At 34.9% G+C, this 27,003-nt stretch overlaps 2 long non-coding RNA genes across 3 annotated transcripts in view; both read left to right on the top strand.

Annotated features, from left to right (window-relative positions):
• On the top strand, positions 321–14,099 carry LOC105369658 (uncharacterized). Its single transcript, XR_001749004.1, has 3 exons — positions 321–471; positions 604–764; positions 14,061–14,099. It is a non-coding gene; the product is annotated as an uncharacterized LOC105369658 (long non-coding RNA).
• Positions 14,100–14,151: 52 nt separating this feature from the next.
• LOC105369657 (uncharacterized) overlaps positions 14,152–27,003 on the top strand; it is a 41,122-nt gene continuing 28,270 nt past the window's right edge. For both annotated transcript variants that reach the window (XR_931355.4, XR_001749003.3), the window contains exon 1: positions 14,152–14,182. This is a non-coding gene — a long non-coding RNA (uncharacterized LOC105369657). The remainder of the gene's footprint in view (positions 14,183–27,003) is intronic.

Raw genomic sequence — 27,003 nt, 5'->3', positions numbered from 1 at the left:
ATCTCTACGCACTATTGTGATGAGGCTCAATCTTTTTTTTTTTTTTTTTTTTTTTTTTTTGAGACGGAGTCTCGCTCTGTCGCCCAGGCCGGACTGCGGACTGCAGTGGCGCGATCTCGGCTCACTGCAAGCTCCGCCTCCCGGGTTCACGCCATTCTCCTGCCTCAGCCTCCCGAGTAGCTGGGACTACAGGCGCCCGCCACCGCGCCCGGCTAATTTTTTGTATTTTTAGTAGAGACGGGGTTTCACCTTGTTAGCCAGGATGGTCTCGATCTCCTGACCTCATGATCCACCCGCCTCGGCCTCCCAAAGTGCTGGGATTACAGGCGTGAGCCACCGCGCCCGGCCGAGGCTCAATCTTTGTTTCACTTTATTTCTCAGAAGAGAATGACAAGAAGGTATCTCCTGTGGAATATGCACTTATCACTCCTAATTCACTGAGACGCAGTAGACCCGAATGATCTAAAGAAGGTATAAATTTGGATATGTTTTAGGCTTTGTAAGATCTTTATTTTGGGGTTTCTATTCACATAACTCTTGTCAAAATAATGTATTATTCGACTCCTTGTTTGATTTGAAAAATCCTCTGATGTTTTTCTCCAGAGTTTACTTTTGGAAGATTATGAGAAGAGGAAAGTAAGAGTGAAAGCAATAGTGTTATGTGACTTGATCTCCATTTGAAATCCTCTCCTCGTCTGACTAGTTTGTTTTCCAGTCAGCCTTATTACCTATTCACACACTGATTGCCAAATAAGCTCCATGAGGTACATTTTTTTTCTATTTGCTTCACTAAAATATCATTATCACTTAGAATAGTGTCTGTCATGCCACTGATGCTCAGTGTTTTTGAATGAATCATTCATTCATTCATTCAATGAATGTTTCTTGAAGGAGACCATATGTTAAGCATTACAATAGATACTAGTGTTGCATAGCTAAAAGAGAGAAATAGTGCCCTTAAGGGTCTCATAGTCCAGTTAGAAAGACAGAAAGTATACAGATTTGGATAAATGCTATATGGAATAAAAGTGGAGTTGTGGAAGGTCAAAGAAGGGTATTCTTTCAACACTTGGTTCAGAAATGAAAGTGGATTAATTAGAAAATTGTTTTTGATTAGGATAACTCTGATGGGGATGAAGATAAAGGAATGTTCCAGGTGAAGAGATTGCACCTACATGGGGGAGTGGCCAGCAGTGGCCGGCAGGGTTGTGAATGATTACAGAATCTAAGCTTTCATAAGTAATACAGGAGACAAATCAAATATGCAAAATATAATTGTGATCATGGGTATAGGAAGGAAAGAATTTTAGTAGAGAGGCACTAAGGAGGTAGAATCATCAAGATTTGGTCAATTGGGCTAGATGTGGTGGCTCATGCCTGTCATCCAACCACTTTGGGAGGCTGAGGCGGGAGGATCACTTGAGTCCAGGAGTTCAAGACCAGCCTGGGCAACATAGTGGGACCCCCATCTCTACAAAAAATACAAAAATCAGCCAGGCATGGTGACATGCACCTGTAGTCCCAGCTACTCTGGAGGCTGAGGTGGGAGGCTCACTTGAGTCTAAGAGGTTGAGCTTCAGTGAGCTGAGTTCACGCCACTGCACTCCAGCCTGCGTGGCAGAGTGAGACCCAGTCTCTAAGGGGGGAAAAAAAAGATTTGGTCAGTTGTGGGGTGATGGGAATACAGAGCCAGATATCAATGATGATTTGTGGGCTTTTGCATTGGAAAACTTGAATCATGGTCCCGCTCAGCAAGATGCGAAATGAAGGCGGAGGGTCTGATAGCAGATGGATAGTAAAGTAAGGAGTTCAGCTTTGAACAGTGAGTTTTCAATGCATGTGGAGAATTCTTGTGAGTTTTTTTTTCGAAACATCAGATACATGATGAGTATGCAGATTAGGAAAGCGATCATGTTTGGATATATAAATTTGGGTGTCCGTTATGCTATGAAGCCATGGCAATAGATGAGATCATTCATTGAGATTGTACAAATTAGTAAGAGAGAAAGGGCCAAAGACAGATTCTGGATAAAAATTATTTGAAGATTAAACAACAACAATAACAACAATAGCAACTAAAACCAATTAGGAAATTAATGTAAAACATGAGAAATCTATGAGTGTTGTGATGGAATGTAAGGGAGGAACATTACTTTCTCTCTTCACTCAGATACACGTTTTTCTAGTTTCATGAAATGGACTGTCTCCCACCTAACCCTCTCTTGCTTTTGTGTTTTGCCTTCTATGAGAATTGGGATAATATTAAGCTATTCTGTCCTTTCAACTGTTGATATGACTCGCTTTTAACACAGTACAGAGCAGTTGTTTACTTTGTGAGCATATTTTAGACTCATTTTTGTTGATGGTTATAGGCAAGGCCAGGATTTTAAAATATTAATGGCCAGTATGGCACCGGCTCAACCAACCTGAAAATATGCCAGTCTGTAAACATTGGTTGTGTCCTGGCTATCTATAAAACATTTTAAAAAGTTTCTTCTGGAGTAAGTTTTGGTAAATTAAATACTTCTTGGAATTTAAGTTTTCAAATGAATTATACTTTATTTTAAATTATAGTCCTTCACACTCTGTATTCCTAAGTTATTTCTTACAGAATTTACCTTCCTCTAATGAACTATATATTTTAAAACATATTAAAAATAACCCTGTGTACAGTCTGGTGACTGGCTTTTTTAAACTTAAAATGTGATTTGTTTGCACAAATTTATGTATTATTACTTTTGAATTAATGTAGAGTCTCTACACTCTATGTGTGGAGACTAGTGGTTTATATACATAATATAACCATTATAAAGTATTCCTAAATGATATAACTAAATATATCAATATTTCAAGTTATTTTAAAAGAACCGTGGGCATTGGAGCATTCTTCCACTTGAACAATTTTAAAGAACTCAAGTAACTAATTACAAATTATAACTTTTGGTCTTCTTGAAGTAGTCAATAGGAGAAATGCTCTGGTTTTTGGAAAATGAGACATGAGAATAGTAAAAAAAATAATAATAATAATTGTATTTTAGAAAAATGTAGGGTCACATATCTACCTAGGCTTGGAGCTATGGATTCTATTGTTTGCAGTAGTATAAGGCTTGGAGCTATGGATTCTATTGTTTGCAGTAGTATAAGGCTTGGAGCTATGGATTCTATTTCCTGTAGTATAAGGCTTGGAGCTATGGATTCTATTGTTTGCAGTAGTATATGATACTCCTCTCTGCTTAGGCCTCAGCAATTTTCTGGGCAAAACATAGTTCCAATCGTCTTGGAATTATCATTGTGGTTATCTGCAGTGTGAATGCATCTGTAGAATGAATGTCCTCTGAACATTATTTAACACGAAATTACAAAGTTCTTGTTATATGCAAGGTCCTAAGCACCTTATAAATATTAGCTTATTTAGTTCATGAAACTAATCTATGAGTTAGATTTTGCCATTATTTCACAAATGAGAAACACAGATATAAAGAATTTAAGTAACTTATTTGCCTAAGCTAAGTCACACAGCTTAGTGGCAAAGTCAAGGGTCAAACCTAGGCAGTTTGGTTCTGGAATCCATGCTCTAAAGTCCTTGTTGAAGTTTACCTCAAATAGAGGTGTTTCCAGGGTCTGAGGTCTGGGTCAGCAAGCCTGAGGGTTGGCAGGGATGTGGGGTACTACTTGTGCCCCCAATTATCTGGAAAATTGTATATTTTTCCTCATACATACATATCTTGCCTTTGCCCCTGTACTTTCCTCTCTGGGGTAATGACCATTCCTGTAGTTATCTCAAGATGTTAATTAGTGCTGGGAACATTTATCTTCTGTGAACCATCAAAGAACAGGTGGGAAAGCCTCACAGAAATGAAGGTTTTCATTCTTATTCTCAGCCTCAGACCCAAGCAAGTCAACAAATACAAAGAATTACTGAACATAGTAGGAATGAGGGTATATGTATATTTCTGAATTTCCACCTTGTCCTGAGAGAACTAATGTCCTGAATGTAAGAATGTTGAAATTTTGTCATTGTCTTTTAAGAAACCTATGAGAACTTCAGAAGTATAATTGAAACTGCATCCCAATGTGTCGTTTAAGAGAAAAACAAAAGCTCCTTAATAAGATTTTTCTAATCCCCAGTAAAGAAGGAATTACCTTAGCTATTTCAGTGCTAAGGTATTAAGAGCAGCACGGAAGAGAGACTGGCTTGCTACTTGCAAAAAGTTAGGGATTTTGCAGAATTTAACGGATCCAACATATGGGCATCCTACTTCTCTTAGAAAGCACCTGTTTCCCTTAGAAACAGTGCTTCACTTCAAGTTGTCATCCCTAGAAATTGGAGGTAGTGTAGCACGGTATGTTTTGGAGCCAGATGGAACTGGATTTTGTTATTTTCAAGCAATAATTAGCTATGCGATACTAGACCAGTACCTTAATTATCAGTAAGATAAAAATCTCAATTGTTGGGACTAAATCATATTGTATAAGTAAGGCCATTACCATATGGTAGGCATTCAATTTGGGGGGGGGGGGTGCTTACTATTAATTGTCCCCATAGATACAAAGTATTTTCTAAATAACACTTTTTTTTTCAAAGTACACATTTTTCTTGTTGAGGTTTGGAGCAGCAGATCTTATCAACATGACAACTGCAGCCTGGTCAGTTTCTCAGTTTTTTCCTGAGGGAGTCATCCAGTTAATTAAACATATTTACTGAATGTATACTTTGAGGCATTGTACTAAAGGAAGACCAGTCAGTAGACTTTTATGGCTGTGACTTGGGTAGCATGATGAAGTCAAGACAGAAGATCAGGAGTGCCTTCACATTGCTACTGGATTGTTTTCTTCAGAGGATTTTTCTAGGACCTGAAATGTGTTTTCAATTTCTTCCTTTCTGTATTTCATAAAGATATCCTTTTGCTATAGTCTGGTATTTCTCCCTTAGCATTTGAGTTGAATCTTGGTTAGGTCCCAATTGACTGTACTATATAGTATTTTCCAGCTGTTTGCTTATTTTCCTAGAGATATTCTCTGTTCCTACATCCTTTCTTTGAATAATGGCCTGGGAAGGGATCCTAATAGTCACCTCTCTTACTTTTAAACTCAATAGCTTTTATTATTGGTAGCTCTCTTTTCTACAGTAAAAATCATACAATTTAGTAGTTCCAAACAAGGGAAATCCCATGCATATTGTAAGCAATTTTGGAAAAGACAAAATTGTTGATGTTAAGAAGTAATGGTTATTTTGAAAATAAATGAGAATATTCCACCCTGCCCCCACTACTTTACTACACCATGAAGTAATCTTTACAGCAGCAGCACCAATAATTTCAAAATTAGAGGCAAACACTTCTAACAGCTGGTAGGTTTTCTATAAACAAAATACCCATGAGGGCTGAGTGGGTCATAATATCTATTTAATGACAGTACTAATTCATTCAGTAATTTTATTTAATCTGTATGTGTATTTTTTTTTTTTAGTCAAAAACTCTTAGCTCAGATAACAGCTCTTTGATTGAAGGATTGTTAACACTTTCTCTGTAATTCATATATGCTTTTGGACAGAGTTGCAAACAGTATCTTCTGGATGTATTGTTGCAGTAATATCAGGAAATATGTATTTCATTCTTTTGTAAATATCAGGATTATTTGCAACTAAGTGTAAGTATTCTACAGAAACATTATTCCTCATGTTTAATGTTTTCTAAATGTTTTGTTTTTTCTTTCCCAAGGCAAGGGTGAAGGGAAAATCTAATGAGATGATCACAGTCTGACATCAGAGAAATATTCTCATTTCCAAGCCTTTCTCTGGATTTGGGAAAAATATCCACAAATTCAAAGCAGAAAGTCTTTAGTAAACAGTCAAGGAGAACTGTGTTTTATTTCTATCTAACATTCCATTTTCTTTGAGAGTCAGACACATTTACTCCTTCAATTAAATAGAAGTAATGTTTAGCTGTTTCTTCATTTTGATGTTAACATACTTGAGATTGCCGTTTTATTTTTTATTGGCTAAAAATATAATTTTTTCTTTGACTACTGGAATTAGTTCCTCCTGCACATTCCTAAATCACTTTTTTCCCCTTCTACCATTTCATGACTAATCAGGGTATAGTGTCTCTCATCTTTTGTTCAATCTAGCACATAATGATTGGCTGTTGCTTAATACATTTTTAAAAAGTTATCAATGTAGATATTAATGACATTTTCTAGACTTGGAAATATAGAGAGGGTACCTAGACATTTGCAGTTTCAATGGCTAGCCCCATGATCTAAATCAAATACATGCTATATTCTATTTATCTTTAGGTCCTTGCTATCCAGCAATGGGCATTCTAAATCACACACACGTAAGTACACACTACAAGGAGATAATTTGAAAAAGATTTGGATTGGACTCAGTGTAAAGTATTTTTTTTTCCATTTTTAAAGCATCTGATCCGTGAAATTATAGGTTTTTAGAACTATAAAGAATGTTGCAGATCAGATGGTTCAAGTATTTTGTTTTACAGATGCTAAATAAATTAAGAAACTCATGCACCTGTTGATGGTAGAGATAAACTCAGAATTAGGTTTTCTATTTCTAATTTGGTCCTCTTTATACTATGCTGCTATTTGGAATGCTTTTTTCTGTGCTGTATTAAATGTTTGCTCTCTGATATGCACTGTATGCTTCAAGTTTGCAGTTAACTCACATGAGATATGCTGTTTCATGCCTCTATATTTGCATATGCTATATCTTTTGTCTGGATTACCCTTTACTCTTCATCTGGTTAAACCCTACTCATTAATTTTTAGATACAGCATTCATTTATTCATGCATTCATTGATTTAATCTTTCATAAACCATGTGTCAGGTTCTGTGTAGTGACTGGATACATAATGAACGAAAAGGTGGATGTGGTTTCTTCTCACAAAGTATGTGTATCTTCTTTACAATTCAGCTTAAATGTTATCACGTCCAAATAGCTTTCCCTGGTGTGTTAGGGTTCTCTAGAGAAACAGACCTGGAGAATACACAAATACACACGTGTGTGTGTCTATATAAATATATATACACACACATATATAAACATATATAAAACATTTACATTTATTTACATGTATGTATACGTGTGTGTAAATGTATATATTTTATACACATCAAATAATTATATATGTAAAATATATAAATTCTACCCATCTCTCTCTATATATATTTGTATATATAGACCAGTAAATTTACACACACACTTATGCATATATAGAAGACACACACGTGTACACACATGTAAATATATACAAACATGTTTATACATATATACATGTGTGTATATATGTATATACATACACACATAAAAATAAATATATATATAATTACATATTTATTTCTTTATTATGGGAATTGGCTTACTTGACTATGGAAGCTGAAAAGTCCCACAATGTGCCATCTGCAAGCTGGAGACCCAGGAAAGCGGGTGGTGTAATTCAATACCAGTCTGAAGGCCTGAGAACCAGGTGAACTGATAGTATAACTCTCAGTCAGAGTCTGAATGCCTGAGAATCTGCAGGGAGGTGTGTGGGCGTGGGGACTACTGGTATGAGTCCCAAATTCTGAAGGCCTGAGACCAGGAGCTTCGATATTCAAGGGCAAGAGAAAATAGAAATGTGTCCCAGCTCAAGAAGAGAGAATCTACCGTGAGTTTGCGTTTCATTCTATCTGGACCCTCAATGGCTTGTATGATGCCACCCACATTGGTGAGGCCAGATCTTCCGTACTCCGCCTAATATATTCAAGTTCTAATCCAAATGCTTATCTCCTCTGGAAACACCCTCACAAACACATCCAGAAATAATGTTTTACCACCTACCTGGGCATCTCTTACTCCACTAAAATTGCCATGTACAATTAACCATCAAACCCAGCAAATTCTTTCCTCGTTTGTCTGAATTAGAAACCACTCTTTTTTGCTCCATGATGTGGCATTTCTTCAGAGTGAAGCCCTTGAGGACAGGAATAGACTTTTTTTGTGTGTGTCTATCCCAGGTCCTGGAGTTACGGTGGTGCTCTAGAAATGTTTGTTGAATGAATAAAGAAATAGAGAAATAGCTAAATATGTAACTCTCTTCTTGACTATAGTAGTTTACATATTGAAATTATTTTTTATATTTTCCTATTGGACTCAGTTTTTTCTCCTTTCTTAACAGGGCGCTACAGGGCTCAAATATAAAAAACAGCAACTGTGTATATACCACAATAACCAAAGTGGCTGCCACTCTCTGCACCAAGAAATTTTTCTTTATTTGTGAGAGGAATTATACTAATTCCGATCTCATTATTTCATTAAATGAAATAATGAACAGCTTGGTGTGCCTAGTGCCGGTAAATATTTCTTGGCTTTGCTCCATTTGTGAGACTAATTGCATGTGTAAGAGAGCTTATAATTTGATGTAGACATTTTTAGTGTCTTAGGGTTTCAACTGCATGAGAAGGAGATTGATGAAAAACTTTGATTTTAATTTATTTTTAATTTTTAGAAAGCATCTCACTCTGTCACCCAGGCTGGAGTAGAGTGATGTGATTTGGGCTCACTGCAGCCTCGACCTCCAGGTGCAAGAGATCTTCCCACCTCAGCCTCTTGAGTAGCTGGGGCTACGGGCATGTGCCACCACACCTGTATAATCTTTGTATTTTTTGTGGAGACAGGATTTCACCATGTTGCCCAGGCTGGTCATGAACTCCTGAGCACAAACAATCCACCTGCTTCAGCCTCCCAAAGTGCTGGGATTACAGGCATGAGCCATGGTGCCTGGCCGCTTCTTTGATTTTTTACTCAAGTTTCAAACAAATTTGATTTTGATGGAAAAATAAATGTTATAATTCAGGAATTATTAATGGTGTTCCTTCTTCCTCTACTGTAGCTGGATTTCTTTGCAACACATCACATCTCCTATATACCTTGTGAAGAAAAGGCCAATACATTTAAGTTTTTAAAAGTGATATTCAGGTGATGTGCATTCTGAAACCAAGATGGCCCATGACATAACTACTTCCACATGCTTTTCTTTGAGAAGTGAATTAAGTGCCTGCAGATGGAATGAGCCTAATTTCTGTTATTCCTATTTGATCACTTGCAGAGTTTAAACATTTTCACAAATAAGACAAATGTTAATAGTTGAAAAATAAAATAATATAGATGCATATTGAATAAAAAGTGACTCTACAACCCCATCTAATTTCCCTCCTCTCTCCAATGTAAACTGTTGATAGTTTTGTTTGTATCTTTCCATATTATTTTCCCCAGCATTTGCTACAAATAATGCTACATTAACCTTTTTTATGTTTTTATCTTGGTGAATGTGTTTGAATGTTTCTATAAGGTAGAAATCTGGAAGAGAAATTCCTATGCCAAAAAATGCACTTCTAAAACACTGGATGATATAAATAAATATTTACCTTCTATAAATGCTGCCAATTATTAGTCACACCTGTTTCCTCAAACCCTACCTAATATTTGATACTATCGATTTTAATGGGTACAGATGTCCTTTTATTATTGTTTTAATTAATACTTTCAGTATTACTGGTAGACAGAGTATCTTTTCTGTTATTTATTGGTCATACGCTCTTCTGTGATTGGCTGTTTTCTATATTCATGATTTTTCTACTTGTTTGCTTTTCTCCTTTTTGTGATTATAGGAAATAATTTGTCTTATATTATTTTTTAAAAATTCAGCTTTTATTTTAATAAATGTGGTACATACATAGGGTTATTACATGAGTATATTGAACCCAGGTAGACTGCATAATAGCTAATAGGATGTTTTTTAACCCCCACCCCCCTTCCTGACTCCCCCTCTAGTAGTCCACAGTGTTTATTATTCTTATGTTTACGTCTATATGTGCTCAATGTTTAGCTCCCACCTGTAAGTGAGAACATGCGGTATTTGGTTTTCTCTTTCTGTGTTAACTTGCTTAGGATTATGGCCTCCAGCTCCAACCATGTTACTGCAAAGGACATGATTTCAATTTTTTTTTATGGCTGCATAGTATTACATGGTGTATATTTACCACACTTTTTTTTTTCATTTCACCGTTGATGGGCACCCACGTTCATTTCATGTGTTTGCTGTTGTGAATAATATGGCAATGAATGTATGAGTGTGTGTCTTTTTGTTACAATGATTCATATTCCTTTGGGTGTATACCCAGTAATAGGATAGATGAGTCAAATGGTAGTTCTGTTTTAAGTTCTTTGAGAAATCTCCAAACTGCTTTCCACAGAGGCTGAACTAATTTACATTCCCACCAACAATGTGTAAGCACTTCCTTTTCTTCATAGCCTAGGCAGCATCTGTTGTTTTTTGACTTTTTAATAACAGCCTTTCTGAATTATGTGACATGGTATCTGTGGTTTTGATTTGCATCTCTCTGAAGATGAGTGATGTGAGTGTGTTTTCATATGTTCATTGGTTACATATATATCTTCTTTTGAGAAGTGTCTGTTCATGTCTTTGGCCCACTATTTAATGGGGTTATATGGTTTTTGCTTATTGTTTTGTTTAAGTTCCTTATAGATTCTGGATATTAGATCCATGTTGGATGCATAGTTTGTAAATATTTTCTCCCACTCTGTAGATCATCTGTTTACCCTATTGATGGTTTATTTTGCTGTGATCATTAGTTTAGTTAGGTCCCACTTGTCAATTTTTGCTTTTTTGGAACTGCTTTTGGGGACTTCACCATAAATTCTTTGCCAAGGCCAATATTGAGAAGGTATTTCCTAGGGTTTCTTCTAGGATTTTTATAGCTTGAGGTCTTACATTTAAATCTTTAATCCATCTTGACTTAATTTTTCTATATGGTGAAAGATAAAGTCTAGTTTCATTCTTCTTCATATAGCTAGCCAGTTATCCCAGCACCATTTATTGAATAAGGAGTCCTTTCCCATTGTTTGGTTCTGTCAGCCTCATCAAAGATCAGATGGTAGTAGATGTGTGGCTTTATTTCTGAATTTTCAATTCTGTCATTGGTCTATATGTTTGTTTTTGTACTAGTACCATGCTGCTTTAATTATTGTAGCCTTATAGTATAGTTTGTAGTTGGATAGTGTCTGTGGATTTGTTCTTTTTGCTTAGAATTGCTTTGGCTATTCAGGCTTTTTTTTTGCTCTACATAAATTATAGAATTGTTTTTTCTAATTCGGTGGACAATGATGTTGGTAGTTTGACAGGCATAATGTTGGAACTTTAAATTACTTTGGGCTATAAATTATTCAGGCTATTTTTTGGCTTCACATAAATTATAGAATTGCGTTTTCTAATTCTGTGGAAAATAATGTTTGTAGTTTCATAGGCATAATGTTGAATCTATAAATTACTTTAGGCAGTATGACCATTTTAATGATATTGATTCTTCCAATCCATGAGCATGGGATGCTTTTCTATTTGTGTCATGACTGATTTTTTTTTAGCAGTTCTTTGTAGTTCTCCTTGTAAAGATCTTTCATGTCCTTAATTAGCTGTATTCCTAGGTATTTTATTTTCTCTGTGGCTATTATAAATGGGATTGTATTCTTGATTTGACTCTTAGCTTACATGTTATTGGTGTATAGAAGTCTGCTGATTTCTGTACATTAATTTTGTGTCCTGAAGCCTTGCTAAAAATCATTTATCAGTTATAGTAGCTTTCAGCAGAGTCTTTACGGTTTTCAAAATGTAGAATCATATTATCAATGAAAGGAGATAGTTTGACTTATTTCCTATTTGGATGCCTTTTATTTGTTTCTCTTGTCTGATTGCTAGACTAGGACTCTCAGTACTATGTTTAATAGGAGTGGTAAGAGTGGGCATCCTTGTCTTGTACCATTTCTCAAAGTAAAAGCTTCTAGGTTTTGTCCATTCAGTATTAAGTTGGCTATGGGTTTGTCATAGATGGCTTATATTGTTTTGATATGTATTCCTGTGTGCCTAGTCTGCTGAAAGTTTTTATCATGAAGGGATGCTGGATGTTGTTGAAGTTTTCTGTGTCTATTAAGATGATCATGTGATTTTTGCTTTTAATTCTTTTTATGTGGTGAATCACATTTATTGATTTGCCTATGGTGAGCCAACTTTGCATCCCAGGAATAAAGCCCACTTGATCGTGCCGAATTAACTTTTTGATATGCTGCTGGATTTGGTTTGCTCGTATTTTGTTGAGGATCTTGCATTTATGTCCTTCGGGGATATTGGCCTGAAGCTTTCTTTTTTCATTGTGTCTCTGCCAGATCTTGGTATTAGGGTGATTCTGGCTTTATAAAATGAGTTAGGGAGAAGTCCCTTGATATGGTTTGGCTGTGTTCCCACCCAAATCTCATCTTGAATTGTAGCTCCCACAATTCCCATGTGTCACTGGATGGACCTCGTGGGAGGTAATTGAATCATAGGGGCAAATCTTTCCTGTGCTGTTCTTGTGATAGTGAATAAGTCTCATGAGATCTGATAGTTTTATAAGGGAGAGTTTCCCTGCACAAATTATCTCTTGTCTGCTGCCACGTAAAACATGCCTTTTGCCTTTCGCCATGATTTTGAGGCCTCCCCAGCCACATGGAACTGTGAGTTCATTAAACCTCTTTTTCTTTATAAATTACCCAATCTCTGCATGTCTTTATCAGCAGCCTGAAAATGGACTAATATAGTAAATTGGTACCAGTAGAGTGAGGTGCTGCTGTAAAGATACCCAAAAATGTGGAAGCAACTTTGGAACTGTGTAACAGGCAGAGGTTTTTAAGTTTGGAGGACTCAGAAGAAAACAGGAAAATGTAGGAAAGTTTAGAACTTTCTAGAGACTTGTTGAATGGCTTTGACCAAAATGCTGATAATGATATGGACAATGACATCCAGGCTTAGGTGGTCTCAGATAGAGATGAGGAACTTGTTGGGAACTAGATAAAGGTGACTCTTGCTATGTTTTAACAAAGAGACTGGTGTCATGTTGCCTCTGCCCTAGAGATTTGTGGAACTTTAAACTTGAGGGAGATGATTTAGGGTATCAGATAGAAGAAATTTCTAAGCAGCAAAGCATTCAAGAAGTGACTTGGGTGCCGTTAAAAACATTCAGTTTTAGAAGGGAAACAGATCATAAAAGTTCAGAATATTTGCAACCTGACAATACAATAGAAAAGAAAAACCCATTTTTTGAGGAGAAATTCAAGCCTGCTGCAGAAATTTACACAAGTAACAAGAAGCCAAATGTTGATCACCCAGACAAAGGGGAAAATGTCTCCAGGGCATGTCAGAGACCTTTGCAGCAGCCCCTCCCATCATAGGCCCGGATGCCCAGGAGGAAAAAGTGGTTTCATGGACTGGGCCCAGGGTCCCCCTGCTGTGTGCAGCCTAGAGACTTGGTGCCTGTGTCCCAGCTGCTCCACCCGTGGCTGAAAGGGGCCAAGGTACAGCTCAGGCCGTGGCTTTAGATGGTGCAAGCTCCAAGCCTTGGCAGCTTTCCACATGCTGTTGAGTCTGTGGGTGTACAGAAGTCAAGAATAAAGGTTTGGGAATCTCCACCTGGATTTCAGAGGCTCTATGGAGACACCTGGATGTCCAAGCAGAAGTTTGCTGCAGGGGAGGGACCTTCCTGGAGAACCTCTGCTAGGGCAGTGTGGAAGGGAAATGTGGGATTGAAGCCCCCACACAGAGTCTCCACTGGGGCACTACCTAGTGGAGCTGTGAGAAAAGGGCCACCGTCCTCCAAACCTCAGAATGGTAGATCCACCAATGGCTTGCATGGTGTGCCTGGAAAAGCTGCAGACACTCAGTGCCAGCCTGTGAAAGCAGGAGGGAGGCTATACCCTGCAAAGCCACAGGGGTGGAGCTACCCAAGACCATGGAAACCCACCTCTTGCATCAGTGTGACCTGGATGTGAGACACGGAGTCAAAGGAGATCATTTTGGAGCTTTAAGATTTGACTGACTCACTGGATTTCAGACTTGTATGGGGACTGTAGCCCCTTTCTTTTGCCTAATTTCCCCTATTTGGAACAGCTGTATTTACCCAATGCCTGTACCCCCATTGCATCTATAAAGTAACTAACTTGCTTTTGATTTTACAGGCTCATAGGTGGAAGGAACTTGCATCTCTTGGATGAGACTTTGGACTGTGGACTTTTGCATTAATGCTGAAATGAGTTAAGACTTTGGTGGACTGTTGGGAAGGCATGATTGGTTTTGAAATGTGAGTACATGAGATTTGGGAGGGGCCGGGGTGGAATGATATGCTTTGGCTGTGTCACTACCCAAATTTCATCTAGAATTGTAGCTCCCACAATTGTCATGAGTTGTGGGAGGGGCCTGGTGGTGGGAAGTATTTGAATCATGGGGGCGGGTCTTTCCTGTGCTGTTCTCGTGATAGTGAATGAATCTCACAAGATCTGATGGTTTTATTAAGGGGGAGTTTCCCTGCACAAATTCTCTCTTGTATGTCACCATGTAAGATATGCCTTTCGCCTTTTGCCATGATTGTGAGGCCTCCCCAGTCACATGGAACTGAGTCCATTAAACCTCCTTTTCTTTATAAATTACCCTGTCTCAGGTGTGTCCTTATCAGCAATGTGAAAATGGAATAATACGCCCCTCCTCCTTGATTTTTTGTAGTAATTTCAGGACAATTGATACCAGTTGTTTTTGTACATCTGGTAGAATTTGACTCTGAATCCATCTATTTCCAGGGCTTTTATTGGTTGGTATTTTTTTTATTATGCATTCAATTTCAGAGCTCAACACTACTCTATTTAGGATTTCCAATCTCTTTCTGATTCAATCTTGGGAGATTGTATATTTCCAGGAATTTATGCATTTCCTCTAGATTTTCTAATCTGTGTGCATAAAGTTGTTTATAGTATTCTCTGAGGATCTTCTGTATTTCTGTGGAACCAGTTATAATGTCATCTTTGTCATTTCTGATTGCGCTTATGTGGATCTTCCCTTTTTTTTTCCTTTGCTAATCTAGCTAGCAATCTATCAATCTTGTTTATTTTTTCAAAAAATACCCAACTTGGTTTCATTGATTCATTGTGTAGATTTTTGCATCTCAATTTCATAAAGTTCTTCACTAATTTAGGTTATTTGTTTTCTTTTTTCTTTTGCTTGCTTTGGAATTGGTTTGTTCTCTTTTTTCCTCTGGTTTCTTTAGGTTGAAAGTTAGACTGTTAATTTCAGATCTTTCTAACTTTTTGTTGTTTTGGTTATTAATTGTGAATAGTTTGTAAATGTTTTCTCCCATTCTGTGGGTTGCCTTTTCACTTCGGTGATTGTTTCCTTTGCTGTGCAGAAGTTTTTTAATGTGATGTGATCCTATTAGTTTTGGGTGCCTGTTCTTTTGGGGTATTACTCAATAAATCTTTCCCCAGTCTAATGTCATGGAGAGTTTCCCCAATTTTTTGGAGCAGTTTCATAGTTTGAGGTCTTAGATTTAAGTGTTTAATTCATTTTGATTTTATTTTTGTATATGGCAAGAGATAGGGGTCTAACTTCATTCTTCTGTATATGGATATCCAGTTTCCCCAGCACCACTTATTGAAGAGACTGTCTTTTCTCCAGTGTATGTTCTTGGCACCTTTGTTGAAAATGAGTTCACTGTAAGTGTGTGGATTTATTTCTGGGTTCTCTATTCTGTTCCGTTGGCCTATGTGTCTTTTTTTTTTATGTCAGTACTATGTCATTTTGGTTACTCTGTAGTATAACGTGAAGTCAGGTAATGTGATTCTTCCAGTTTTGTTTTTGTTTGCTTAGAATAGTTTTGGCTATTTTGGGTCTTTGTAGCTCGATATAAATTTTAGAATTTTTTTTCTATTTCTGTGAAGAATGTCATTGATATTTTAACAGGGATTGCATTGAATCTGTAGATTGCTTTGGGGAGTATAGACATTATAACAACATTGAATATTCCAATCCCATGCACATGAAATATCTTTCCATTTTTTGGTATCCTCTTCAATTTCTTACATCTATGTTTTATAGTTTTAACAGTTTTTATTGTAGAGATCTATTACTTCTTTAATTCCTGGGTACTTTATTTTATTTGTAGCTTTTGTAAATGGGATTACTTTCTTGATTTTCATTTCAAATTGTTCACTGTTGGCATGTAGAAATGCTACTGATTTTTGTTTGCTCATTTTGTATCCTGTAACTTTACATTTGTTTATCACTTCTAAGAGTTTTTTTTTGCTTGGAGTCCTTTGTTTTTTCCAAATATGAGATTATATCATCTGCAGACAAGGATAATTTTACTTCTTCCTTTCCAATTTGGATGCCCTCTATTTCTTTCTCTTGTCTCATTGCTGTAGCTGAGATCACGCCACTGCACTCCAGCCTGGGCGACAGAACGAGACTCTGTCTCAAAAAAAAAATAAATAAATAAAAATAAAAATAAAAAATAAAGATACTAGCTATGAGACTATTATACATGGGATTTACTATGTTGAGGTATGTTCCTGCTATACCTAGTTTTTTACAGTTTTTATCATGAAGGAAGTTAAACTTTATCAGGTGATTTTTCACCATCAATCGAAATGAACATGGTTTTTCTTCTTCATTCTGTTGATATGATTTATCACATTGATTGATTTGCATATGTTGTACAATCCTTGAATCCCTGGGATAAATCCCACTTGGTCATGATGGCTAATCTTTTTAATGTGTTGTTGAATTCAATTTGCTCACATTTTGTTGAGGATTTTTGCATCAATATTCATAGGTGATATTGATCTGTAGTTTTTTTTTAATGTATGTCTTTGGTTTTGGTATCAGGGTAATACTGGCCTTGTAAAATGAGTTTGGCAGTATGTTCCCCTCCTCTATCTTTCAGAATAGTTTTAGTAGAATTGATATTAATTTTTCTTTAAATGTCTGGTAAAATTCAGCACTGAAGTCATAGGATCTTGAGCTTTTGTGCTGGTAGAATTTTTATTATGGCTTTGATCTCATTGCTTGTTATTGGTCTGTTTAGGTTTTGAATTTCTTCATGGTTCAATCTTGGTAGGTTGTAAATGTTTAGGAATTTATGCATTTCTTCTAGACTTTCTAGTTTATTAGCATATAATTGCTCATAATAGCCACTGATGAGTCTTTGAATTTCTGCAGTATCACTTGCAATGTCTCCTTTTTCATCTCTGATTTTGGTCTTCTCTTTTATTTTCTTGGTTAATCTGGCTTAAATTTGTCAGTTTTATCTTCTAAAAAACAACTTTTTGTTTTATTGATATTTTGTATTGTTTTATTCATTTCAATTTATCTTGGCTCTGATCTTTATTATTTCTTTTCTTCCACTAATTTTGAGTTTAGATTGCTCTTACCTTTCTAGTTCTTTAAAATGCATTGTTAGGTTGTTTATTTGAAGTTTTCCCTCCTTTTTGATGTAGGCACTTATGGCTCTAAACTTTTCTCTTTGTACTGCTTTCATTGTATCCCATAGGTTTTGGTATATCATGTTTTTATTATCATTTATTTCAAGAATTTTTTCAATTTCCTTTTTAATTTCTTCATTGACCCACTGGTCATTCAGGAGTATATTGTTTCATTTCCATGTGTTTGTTTAGTTTCCAAAATGCCTCATTATTGATTTCTTATTTTATTCTGTTGTGGTTAGAGAAGATGCTTGCTATTATTTCCGTTTTTTTTTAAATGTTTTGAGACTTGTTTTTTGACCTAACATGTGGTCTACCTTTGAGAATGATCCATGCGCTGAGGAAAAGAATGTGTATTCTGCAGCCATTGGATGAAATGTTAGTAAATATCTTTTAGGTCTATTTGGTCTGTAGTGCAGATTATGTCTGATGTTTCTTTGTTAATTTTGTGTCTGGATAATCTTTCCATGCTGAAAGTGGAGTGTGGAAGTCTCCAGCTATTCTTGCCATGGTCTCTACTTCTTTTTTTAGTTCTAATAGTATTTGCTTTGTATTTCTGGGTGCTCCAGTATTGTATGCATATATGTTTACAGGTGTTATATCCTCTTGCTGGATCGATCCTTTTATCATTGTATAATGATCTCGTTTGTTTCTTTTTATAGTTTTTGTCTTGAAATCTATTTTGTCTGATGTAAGTATAGCTACTCTTGCTCTTTTCTGGTTTCCATTGTCATAGAATATCTGTTTCCATCCCTTTATTTTCAGTCTTTGTGTGTCTTTGTAGGTGAAATGTCTTTCTTGTAGGCAACAGATCATTGGGTCTTGCTTTTTAAATCCATTTAGCCATTCCGTGTCTTTTGATTAGAGAGTTCATTTACATTCAATGTTATTATTGATAAGTAAGTACTTACCCCTGCCATTTTGTTGTTTGTTTTCTGATTGTTTTGTAGTCTCTCTCCCTTCTTTCCTTCCTGTCTTCCTTTTAGCGAAGGTGATTTTCTCAAATGTTATGATTTAATTTCCTTTTTATTTTATTTATTTTATTTTATTTTTTGAGCTGGAGTCTCACTCTGTCACCCAGGCTGGAGTGGAGTGGCATGAACTCAGCTCACTGCAACCTCTGCCTACCAGGTTCAAGCAATTCTTCTGTCTCAGCCTCCCAAGTAGCTGGAATTTCAGGTATGCACCACCATGCTTGGCTAATTTTTGTATTTTCAGTAGAGATGGGGTTTGTCATGTTGGCCAGGCTGGTCTCAAACTCCTGACCTCAGGTGATCTGCCCACCTTGACCTCCCAAAGTGCTGGGATTACAGGTGTGAGCCACAACACCTGGCCTGCTTTGTGTGTGTGTGTGTGTGTGTATCTGTTGCATGTTTTTGAGTTGAGGTTACCATGAAAATTGCAAATACTATCTTATAACACATTATTTTAACCTGATTACAACTTAATACTGCTTGCAAATACAAATGAATTAACAAGAAAAAGGAAACTCATAAAAACTCTGTTTTAACTTCATTTCCATGCTTTTTAACCTTTGTTGTTTCTCTTTATGTGTTATTGTACTACATCTTGAAAAGTTGTTGTAATTATTATTTTGATTGGTTCATCTTTTATTCTTTCTACTTAAGATGAGTAATTTACAAACCACAGTAACAGTGTTATAATATGTGTGTTGTTCTGTGTACTTACTATTACCAGTGAGTTTTGTACCTTCAGAAGATGCTTTATTGCTTATTAACATCCTTTTCTTTCTGATTGAAGTACTCCCTTTAGCATTTCTTATAGGACATGTCTGGTATTGATGAAATCACTCAGCTTTTCTTTGTCTTGGAAAGTCTTTATTCCTCCTTCATGTTTGAAGAATATTTTCACCAGCTATACTGTTTATGCCTATTTTTTTTCCCCTTCAACACTTCAAATATGCCATGCCACTGTCTCCTGGTCTGCAATGTTTCCACTGAAAAGTCTGCTGGAAGATGTATTGGAGCTCCATTGTATGTTGTTTCTTTTCTCTTGCTGCTTTTAAGATCCTTTCTTTATCCTTGAAATTTGAGAGTTTGATTATTAGATGGCTTGACGTAGTCTTCCTTAGGTTAAATCTGCTTGGTCTTCTATAACTTTTGTGGACTTGGATATTGATATCTTTCTCTAGGTTTGGGAAGTTCTGTTATTATCCCTCTGAATAAACATTCTACTCCTTTCTGTTTCTCTACTTCCTCTGTAAGGCCAATAACTCTTAGATTTACCCTTTTCATGGTATTTTTTAAATCCTGCAGGGATAACTTTAGGTTTCTAAAAAACTTGCAGAGATAGTGTAGAAGGTTCCCATAGATCCTTGAGTGAGTTTCACTTTCCCCTAATGTTATTGTCTTACATTACCATAAGATGATACATCTTACATTTGTCAAAACTAGGCATCCTATACTGGTATGTTACTGTTAACTGTGCTGAAAACGTCATTCAGCTTTCACCCATTTTTCCCATGAATGTCTGTCTTCTGTTCTAGAATCATATCCAGGCCTCCACATTGTATTTGGTCATTACATCTCCTTCATCTCCAAATTATGACCATCTTATTTTTTATTAAACACCTCAAGTAATGATAGACTCAGTATCTATACTTCTGGAAAACCAAAAATTTTTTAAAGTTTTTTTTGCATTATTGCTTCCATCAAAATGACATTAAAAATTGGTCACTAGAAAACATAAGAGAGTCATTTTGGTATTTTCTGTATAAAACATAACTCAACCATTATTTCATATATTCAAACTCATCCATTATTTCATATAAACCATAACTGACCATTATTTCATAACTGTCAGTTTAAAACAGGAAATACAATTAAAGATATGTAAAAATGCAAAATATGAGAAAAACAATCCCTATTTTTATTATATAATGTTTTGTTTTTGGTGACAGGTTTACTGAACTAAAGATTCTCCCTTTGCCTTAGAAGCTAAGCTACAGTCACCTAACTTTTACCAATTTAAAAATTTTAAAGATAGGTGAAAATAACAGTATATAGGAAATACACAATATTAAAAATAAAAAATAAAAACCTATTACCTCTTGGATTTTTGTTTTTGTTTTTGAAAAATCATTTCAAAATTTTATGCATGCTGCCTGCTATATTATAAAGTTCACATTAATTCAGCTATATCCTGATATCATTCTGCTGTGTTCTATTCATGTTATCATGAGCCTCTATCTCTCTCTCTTATTTTATGTGCTTATTCACTTATTTCATCTTGGGGTTGTATCTTGATTTCTATTAACTTTATTCTTTTATTAAATGTCATTTCAGTTTTTAAAAAATTTAATACTGGCTAGACTTGGTGAACATAAATATAATTTCAGTGGACATTAAAAGATAAACACAAGTTGAGGTAGAAAAGAAGTATAGGAAACAATTGAAGAAACATTAAAAATACATTGATATTTTTGGGTACAAAAGTGTGTGGGTGTTTTAAGGAGAGAGGAAAGCTTTGGGAAAATGGTCTTTATAATCAACCAATTAATAATAACCTCATCCTTTATTCAAAATAGTTACAAAGTTAAAATCCTTAAAAGAAAATAGATATGATATACCTATACTCTGACAATAATATTTTATAGATATTGTTGATAAAATATCTAAGCCTATATAGTTTGCTAGATTTTCAAGAACCTCTTATATTTATTTTATTTAATAAACCTTGAAGTTTAGTATTAAAATGCCAAAAACTAAAATTGTTAATAATTACCTGTCTTTGGTGGTTTGCCCCATACTTTTAGGGACAGGTGTATATCAGTTGCTCTATTAATATTAAATGATGATAAATGTAAGCCTATACAACTCTTAAAAAGAGTGGAAGCAACACATTCCTATAAATATGTTATGGACTAATTTTTAGAATCCATTTGACACTTGTTATGGTTCATAACATATACAAATGCTATTAAATGCATTCTGGTTAAATGATACATTTGGAACTGGGGAATTTGAGGTAAAAACATACATAGAGATGTACAGCAGCCAAGCAGAGTAACTAATGGCTGCGAACCTGGAATATCATAGTTCATGGGCGTGCTTAAAAACTGTTTACCTTTAAAAGAAAGTTCAATTGTCTGGAGAATTTCCAGGATGCATTGTCTGTCATAACTTTATTTAGTTAGAAACCTACTCCCTGAAAGCAATCAGTTGATTCCTAGTAGAGAAACAGAATAAGCCGAAGGCAAACCTACAAGAGAAGCAACTAGAGAATCTAGTTTTGTTACCACTATTTAGAAGGGGATAAGATAGTTTTGCTTTAGGGTAATGAGAGATGCATTCTCAAACCATGAAGAAGTGCCTTTGTAAAGAATTCAAATGGTGTAGCTGAAATAGAGATGAATTTCAGTTGTTATTACTGCACATTTCTAAGAAGGATTTTTAAGCACTAGAGCATTGGGTGTGCAGATTAATGTGGTTGACCCTTTAGGTGTGCACATTAATGAGGTTGATATGAAAAAAAAAACAACACCAAAGCCTGCTTTTGTTACTACTACCTACTTCTAGAGTTAAATAGGACATAGGGCTGCTCATTGAATTAAATAATTTTTAAAAATGCTTTGACAGCTGTGGCTACAACTACTGGAAGAGATTATTTTGACTTTGATGCTTTAAAAGGGCTTCATTCAAATCTATTCAACAGTTTAAGGCTTTCTATTTCTGCTTCTGTCTTAATTTTTATTATTTAGAGAAACAGTCTCTTTCTTCAGATAATTTAAGGAGAAGACAAGAAGTGGAAAAACACTATTTCAGATCAGTCAACCCATACTGTATATAGTTACATTTATTATAATTCATCAAGACATCGCAATATATTTAGGATGTTCATTAAAAATACAGACCAAAATTTATGCACATTTTAACAGCTATCTATTTTTATTATATGTATAACAATTGTGGATTTTCCTCCATTTTATAAAAAGTGTATAAATCACACAAGGCAGAATATGGATATTTATTTTTCTATTTTTATAGATTTAAAATCTTTTTGTTAACCATTTTCTAGTCTCATGAGTTGCTGAGATGGCCATATAGATATAAAACAGGAAAGCATATTTGTAAATATATATATATGGATTAGAAAATGGTTAACCAGTTGCCATAAAGTTTATGGCAGTTGCTGTAACCAGTTTAGCAGTTGCCATAAATTTTATGAACATTTAATGAATCGAGAGAGAGAGAGAGAGAGAGAGAAGAAGCTTTATGGCAACTGCTGAAGCTCAGGTTTGAGTTAATCCATTAAATGTTCATAAAATTTATTATTTTATTTATGACTTGTCTGTCACAGAGTGTGAGTAGGAAAGGTGATACTGACACCACTGGAAACTTTCTGTGGGGAAATACTGAATGTCATATGATCCTCCTCGGCTTTCCTCTGACACAGTGTCTTTGAGGGTCAGTAATACATATCAGTAAGTACCTCCTGGTCTCAAAGGAGAGAGAAAACCAGCAGGTCAGCACATCCTTACTGTATTCCTGACCAAGTTTGTCTTCCAGCTGGTGAAATCTCAAGGCATAGACACAGGTATTATCAGCCAGTGTGGGTGTGCAATCCATGTCTCTATGTGTCATGCTGTTGAGGAAAGAGGAATAAAGTAGAATTTTGTATAGAAAAGCTATGTAGAAAGTTGGGAGACATTTGAATTGTTGCAGGAAATAATTAACTTTAGGATCTATGTTAATATCTAATGTTAATGTTACACTAAAGGTAAAGGCAGAAATGGATCAGAATAAGAACGTGTCAAATATATTAACCATGTAGAATATGATTTTTAAAAATTCTCAAATGTTTGGGGAATATTTATTTTCTTTTAGACATTATGACTCTGGACTTCTTTTTTCTTACCACGAAGGATGCTACTTACCTGGTTGGCGATGAATTATTCAAATCTCAAATTCCCTATCCTGAATTTAGGTGTAATAGGAAAAATTTGAATGTTTTTTAAAATAATATTTTTAATCAAAAAAATCCAGTTTTATATTTACGAATATGTTTTCCTGTTATATATGTACACAGATATTAAATAGAAAAAAACTAAACAAAAACTAGCTAGCTGGCAAAATATATGACCTTAAAATAGGACTTACCTTATAACTTGGCATAGTGAAAGAGAGAATATTTATTGAAAAATAAATTGTAGTACATTTATATATTTATTAATTGATGATCAAATCAGGTTCCCTCAAATTACAAAGTAATTAATGGTGGAAATATTATGATATTTTAAGGGTCCAACAACCAAATCTACCCGTAAACAATGGTATTTTGGTTCTGTCTGTAGAGTTATTGAAAATATTTTTTGGGGAAAAATATTTTCTCCTCTTAAATAACTAAGTATCTCAGATTTTCTTAGTAATTTATTTTTCAGTAGTCATCCAAGAATGCTCCTAAATATTTTTAAAGTATCTATTTTTTGTATGTGATTCAGTTATGAAATAAATTTTATTCATTTACTTAAATATATTTTTTTCATAGATTAGAAGTTGACATACATCCACAGGATAACATTTAGAAGAGGACTATCATTCAATCCACAAGCTTTACTGAACACTGACAGTGAGCCCTGTAGTATGCTAAGTGATGGAGGAGAACTGAAGGGCAAATAAGCCCTATATGAATGAATCTATTTGAGAAGACCCATGTTAAATAAGATAAAACAAATTATCTATGTATCTATTTAAGCAAAAGCTGTAGAAATAAGATATAAGAAGAAATACAAAATTCTCCCATAATTATATGATTCTTAAATGACCAACTTTATGCTAACTAATTTTTATGCTTCTTTTTATTTTCTCCTGTGAATTTATTTTCTATTTAAAAGAGATGGTATCCATGCCTTACCAAACTGGTATCACATAGTTTTATATTCTAGGTATTTCACTTTAAACAAGAGTACTTTCCCATTATAAATAAGATTTTAAATATGAATCTTATAAGAAGCATGGTATTTTATTCTATGGAAAAAACTTAATTTATGAAAATATTTCTTATTGCTGAAATTAGGATATTTAGAAAATAAAGCCATAATCTTTTTAGCATATGAATTTTGTTTCAACTCTGCTTATTGCTTTAGTATAAAAAACTTTTGGTCAGGCACAGTGGCTTATGCCTGTAATCCCAACACTTTGGAAGGTTGAGGAGGGCGGATCATGAGGTCAAGAGATCGAGACCATCCTGGCCAACATGGTGAAACCCTGTCTCTACTAAAAATACAAAAATTAGTTGGGTGCGCCTGTAGTCCCAGCCACTCAGGAGGCTGAGGCAGGATAATCGCTCGAACCCAGGAAGGAGAGGTTGCAGTGAGCCGAGATTGCGCCACTATACTCCAGCCTGGCAACAGAGTCAGACTCTGTCTCAAACAACAACAACAACAAAACACCTTTTATGCCAGGCACAGTGGTTCATGCTTGTTGTAATCTCTTGGTGCTTTGGAAGGCCAAGGACGGAGGATTGCTTGAGGCCGGGAATTCAAAACCAGCCTGGGCAACAAAGTGAGACCCACATCTGTACAAAAAATTTAAAAAAATTAGCTGGGCTTGGAGGTACATGCCTGTAGTCCTAGCTACTTAGAAGGCTGGGAGAATTGCTTGAGCCTAGGAGGTCCAGATTGCAATGAGCTGTGATTGCACCACTGCACTACAGCCTGGGCAATAGACCAAGATCCTGTCTCTCTTTTATATATATATATATATATATATATATATATATATATATATATATATATGTGTGTGTGTGTGTGTGTGTGTGTATATATGTGTGTGTGTGTGTGTATGTGTGTGTATATATGTATATATGTGTATATATGTGTGTATATGTGTATAGATGTGTATAGATGTGTGTGTATATATATGTGTGTATATATATGTGTATATATGTGTGTATATATGTGTATATATGTGTTTATGTGTCTATATGTGTGTATATATGTATGTGTATATATGTGTCTATATGTGTGTATGTATATATGTGTATATATGTGTATACATGTGTGTATATATGTGTGTATATACATGTGTGTATATATACGTGTGTATATATGTGTGTATATATGTGTGTGTATATACGTGTGTGTATATACGTGTGTGTATATACGTGTGTGTATATATGTGTGTATATATGTGTGTGCATACGTGTGTGTATATGTGTGTGTATATACGTGTGTGTATACGTGTGTGTATATACGTGTGTGTATGCGTGTGTATATACGTGTATATATGTGTGTATGTACGTGTGTGTATATATACATGTGTGTATATACGTGTGTATATATACGTGTGTATATATATGTATGTGTGTATATATATATATATGAAAAACCAAAAAAACTTTCAAAGGAGTTATAGTTGAAAGAATATTAACATCCTTAAGTCTGTTGACACATATTACTGTATTGCTTTCCAGAATCATTGGTACAAATTACACTACCACCAATGTTGTAAAATTAAAGTGAAATATGTACATAATGTCAATTATTACTGTTATTAATTATTATAAAATTTGTGAAATGTGATAATTAGGAAATATTTTGTAATTTGAATAATTTATGGTTCTTTCTATTAGTGAGAAGGTACAATTTTGTGCGTGATTGTAATTTGTCTTCTTTATTTCTTCTTCTGTAAGTTTTCTGTTCATTCATTTCACCTAATTTTCTCCTGTGATATATTTCCTTTTTCATTTTTATTTTCAAAGAACATCAAACAGTTTGAGTACATATTTATAACACTAATTAAAATGCGATATAATGCATGTGTGTAAAACAAGATACCCACTAAGTAGTATAATAATAAACATAGGAAGAAATGTTTTGAAATATTAAAAGTCATTATTCTTGTGTTATAGAATTACGAGGGATCTACAATATTTTTTTAAAATTTCAGATATGCATATCATAATTGTAAAATTGGAAAAATTCAATGGTATTCTATAAATAATTGCTGATTGTTTTTGTTAAATATCTTTTTTTGGTTGCCGTTTAACATGATACTATCCATTACTGACTTTAAAATTTCCTTCTATTGGAAAGGTTTGATATCTTTGTATCTTCTGTAATGTTTGCTATCCATTAACATTTTATTTTATTTTTTTATTTTAACAGTATGAGTTGTTTTATTCAAATATATATATACATGTTTTTATTTTGTGTGTGTATATATATACACACACACAATACATTTCACAAAACAAAAGAGAATGCAAACAGATTTGTGTTCTAAAACCACAAGGCAGCAGTGAAAAGTGTAGGAAAAAATCTTGCAGTAAACATAAAAGTGACTACAACTTGATTAAAAAAATGTACAGAGGTGAATGAAGAATGAAAGGACAAGGGGGAAAGAAGAACTGGCTTGGCTGTGGGAGAGGAGTTAGGGCCAAGTTATTAAGTATTTAAGGAATAAAAAGGCCCAAGGTTATTTGGAATTCTTGTGAACAATTCTTATAAAACCTTTGAATTTCTATTGGATTCCAGGCCCACTTTATGAAATGCCTACAGCCTAAATGCATTGGTATTTAATGCTACTCTTCAGATCTAACAGTATTCCAAACAAAAATTCATCATCATGCATCCCAACTTTTTGTCCCTTGACTTTCCAGAGTCTGTTTTATGAGCTGCCTTCCCTATTAT

This window comes from Homo sapiens, chromosome 12, assembly GCF_000001405.40.
Source record: "Homo sapiens chromosome 12, GRCh38.p14 Primary Assembly".
In the NCBI taxonomy this organism is placed as follows: Eukaryota; Metazoa; Chordata; class Mammalia; order Primates; family Hominidae; genus Homo; species Homo sapiens.
Note: the sequence above shows the minus strand (reverse complement) of the source record. Positions and strands in the feature narration are given on the sequence as shown.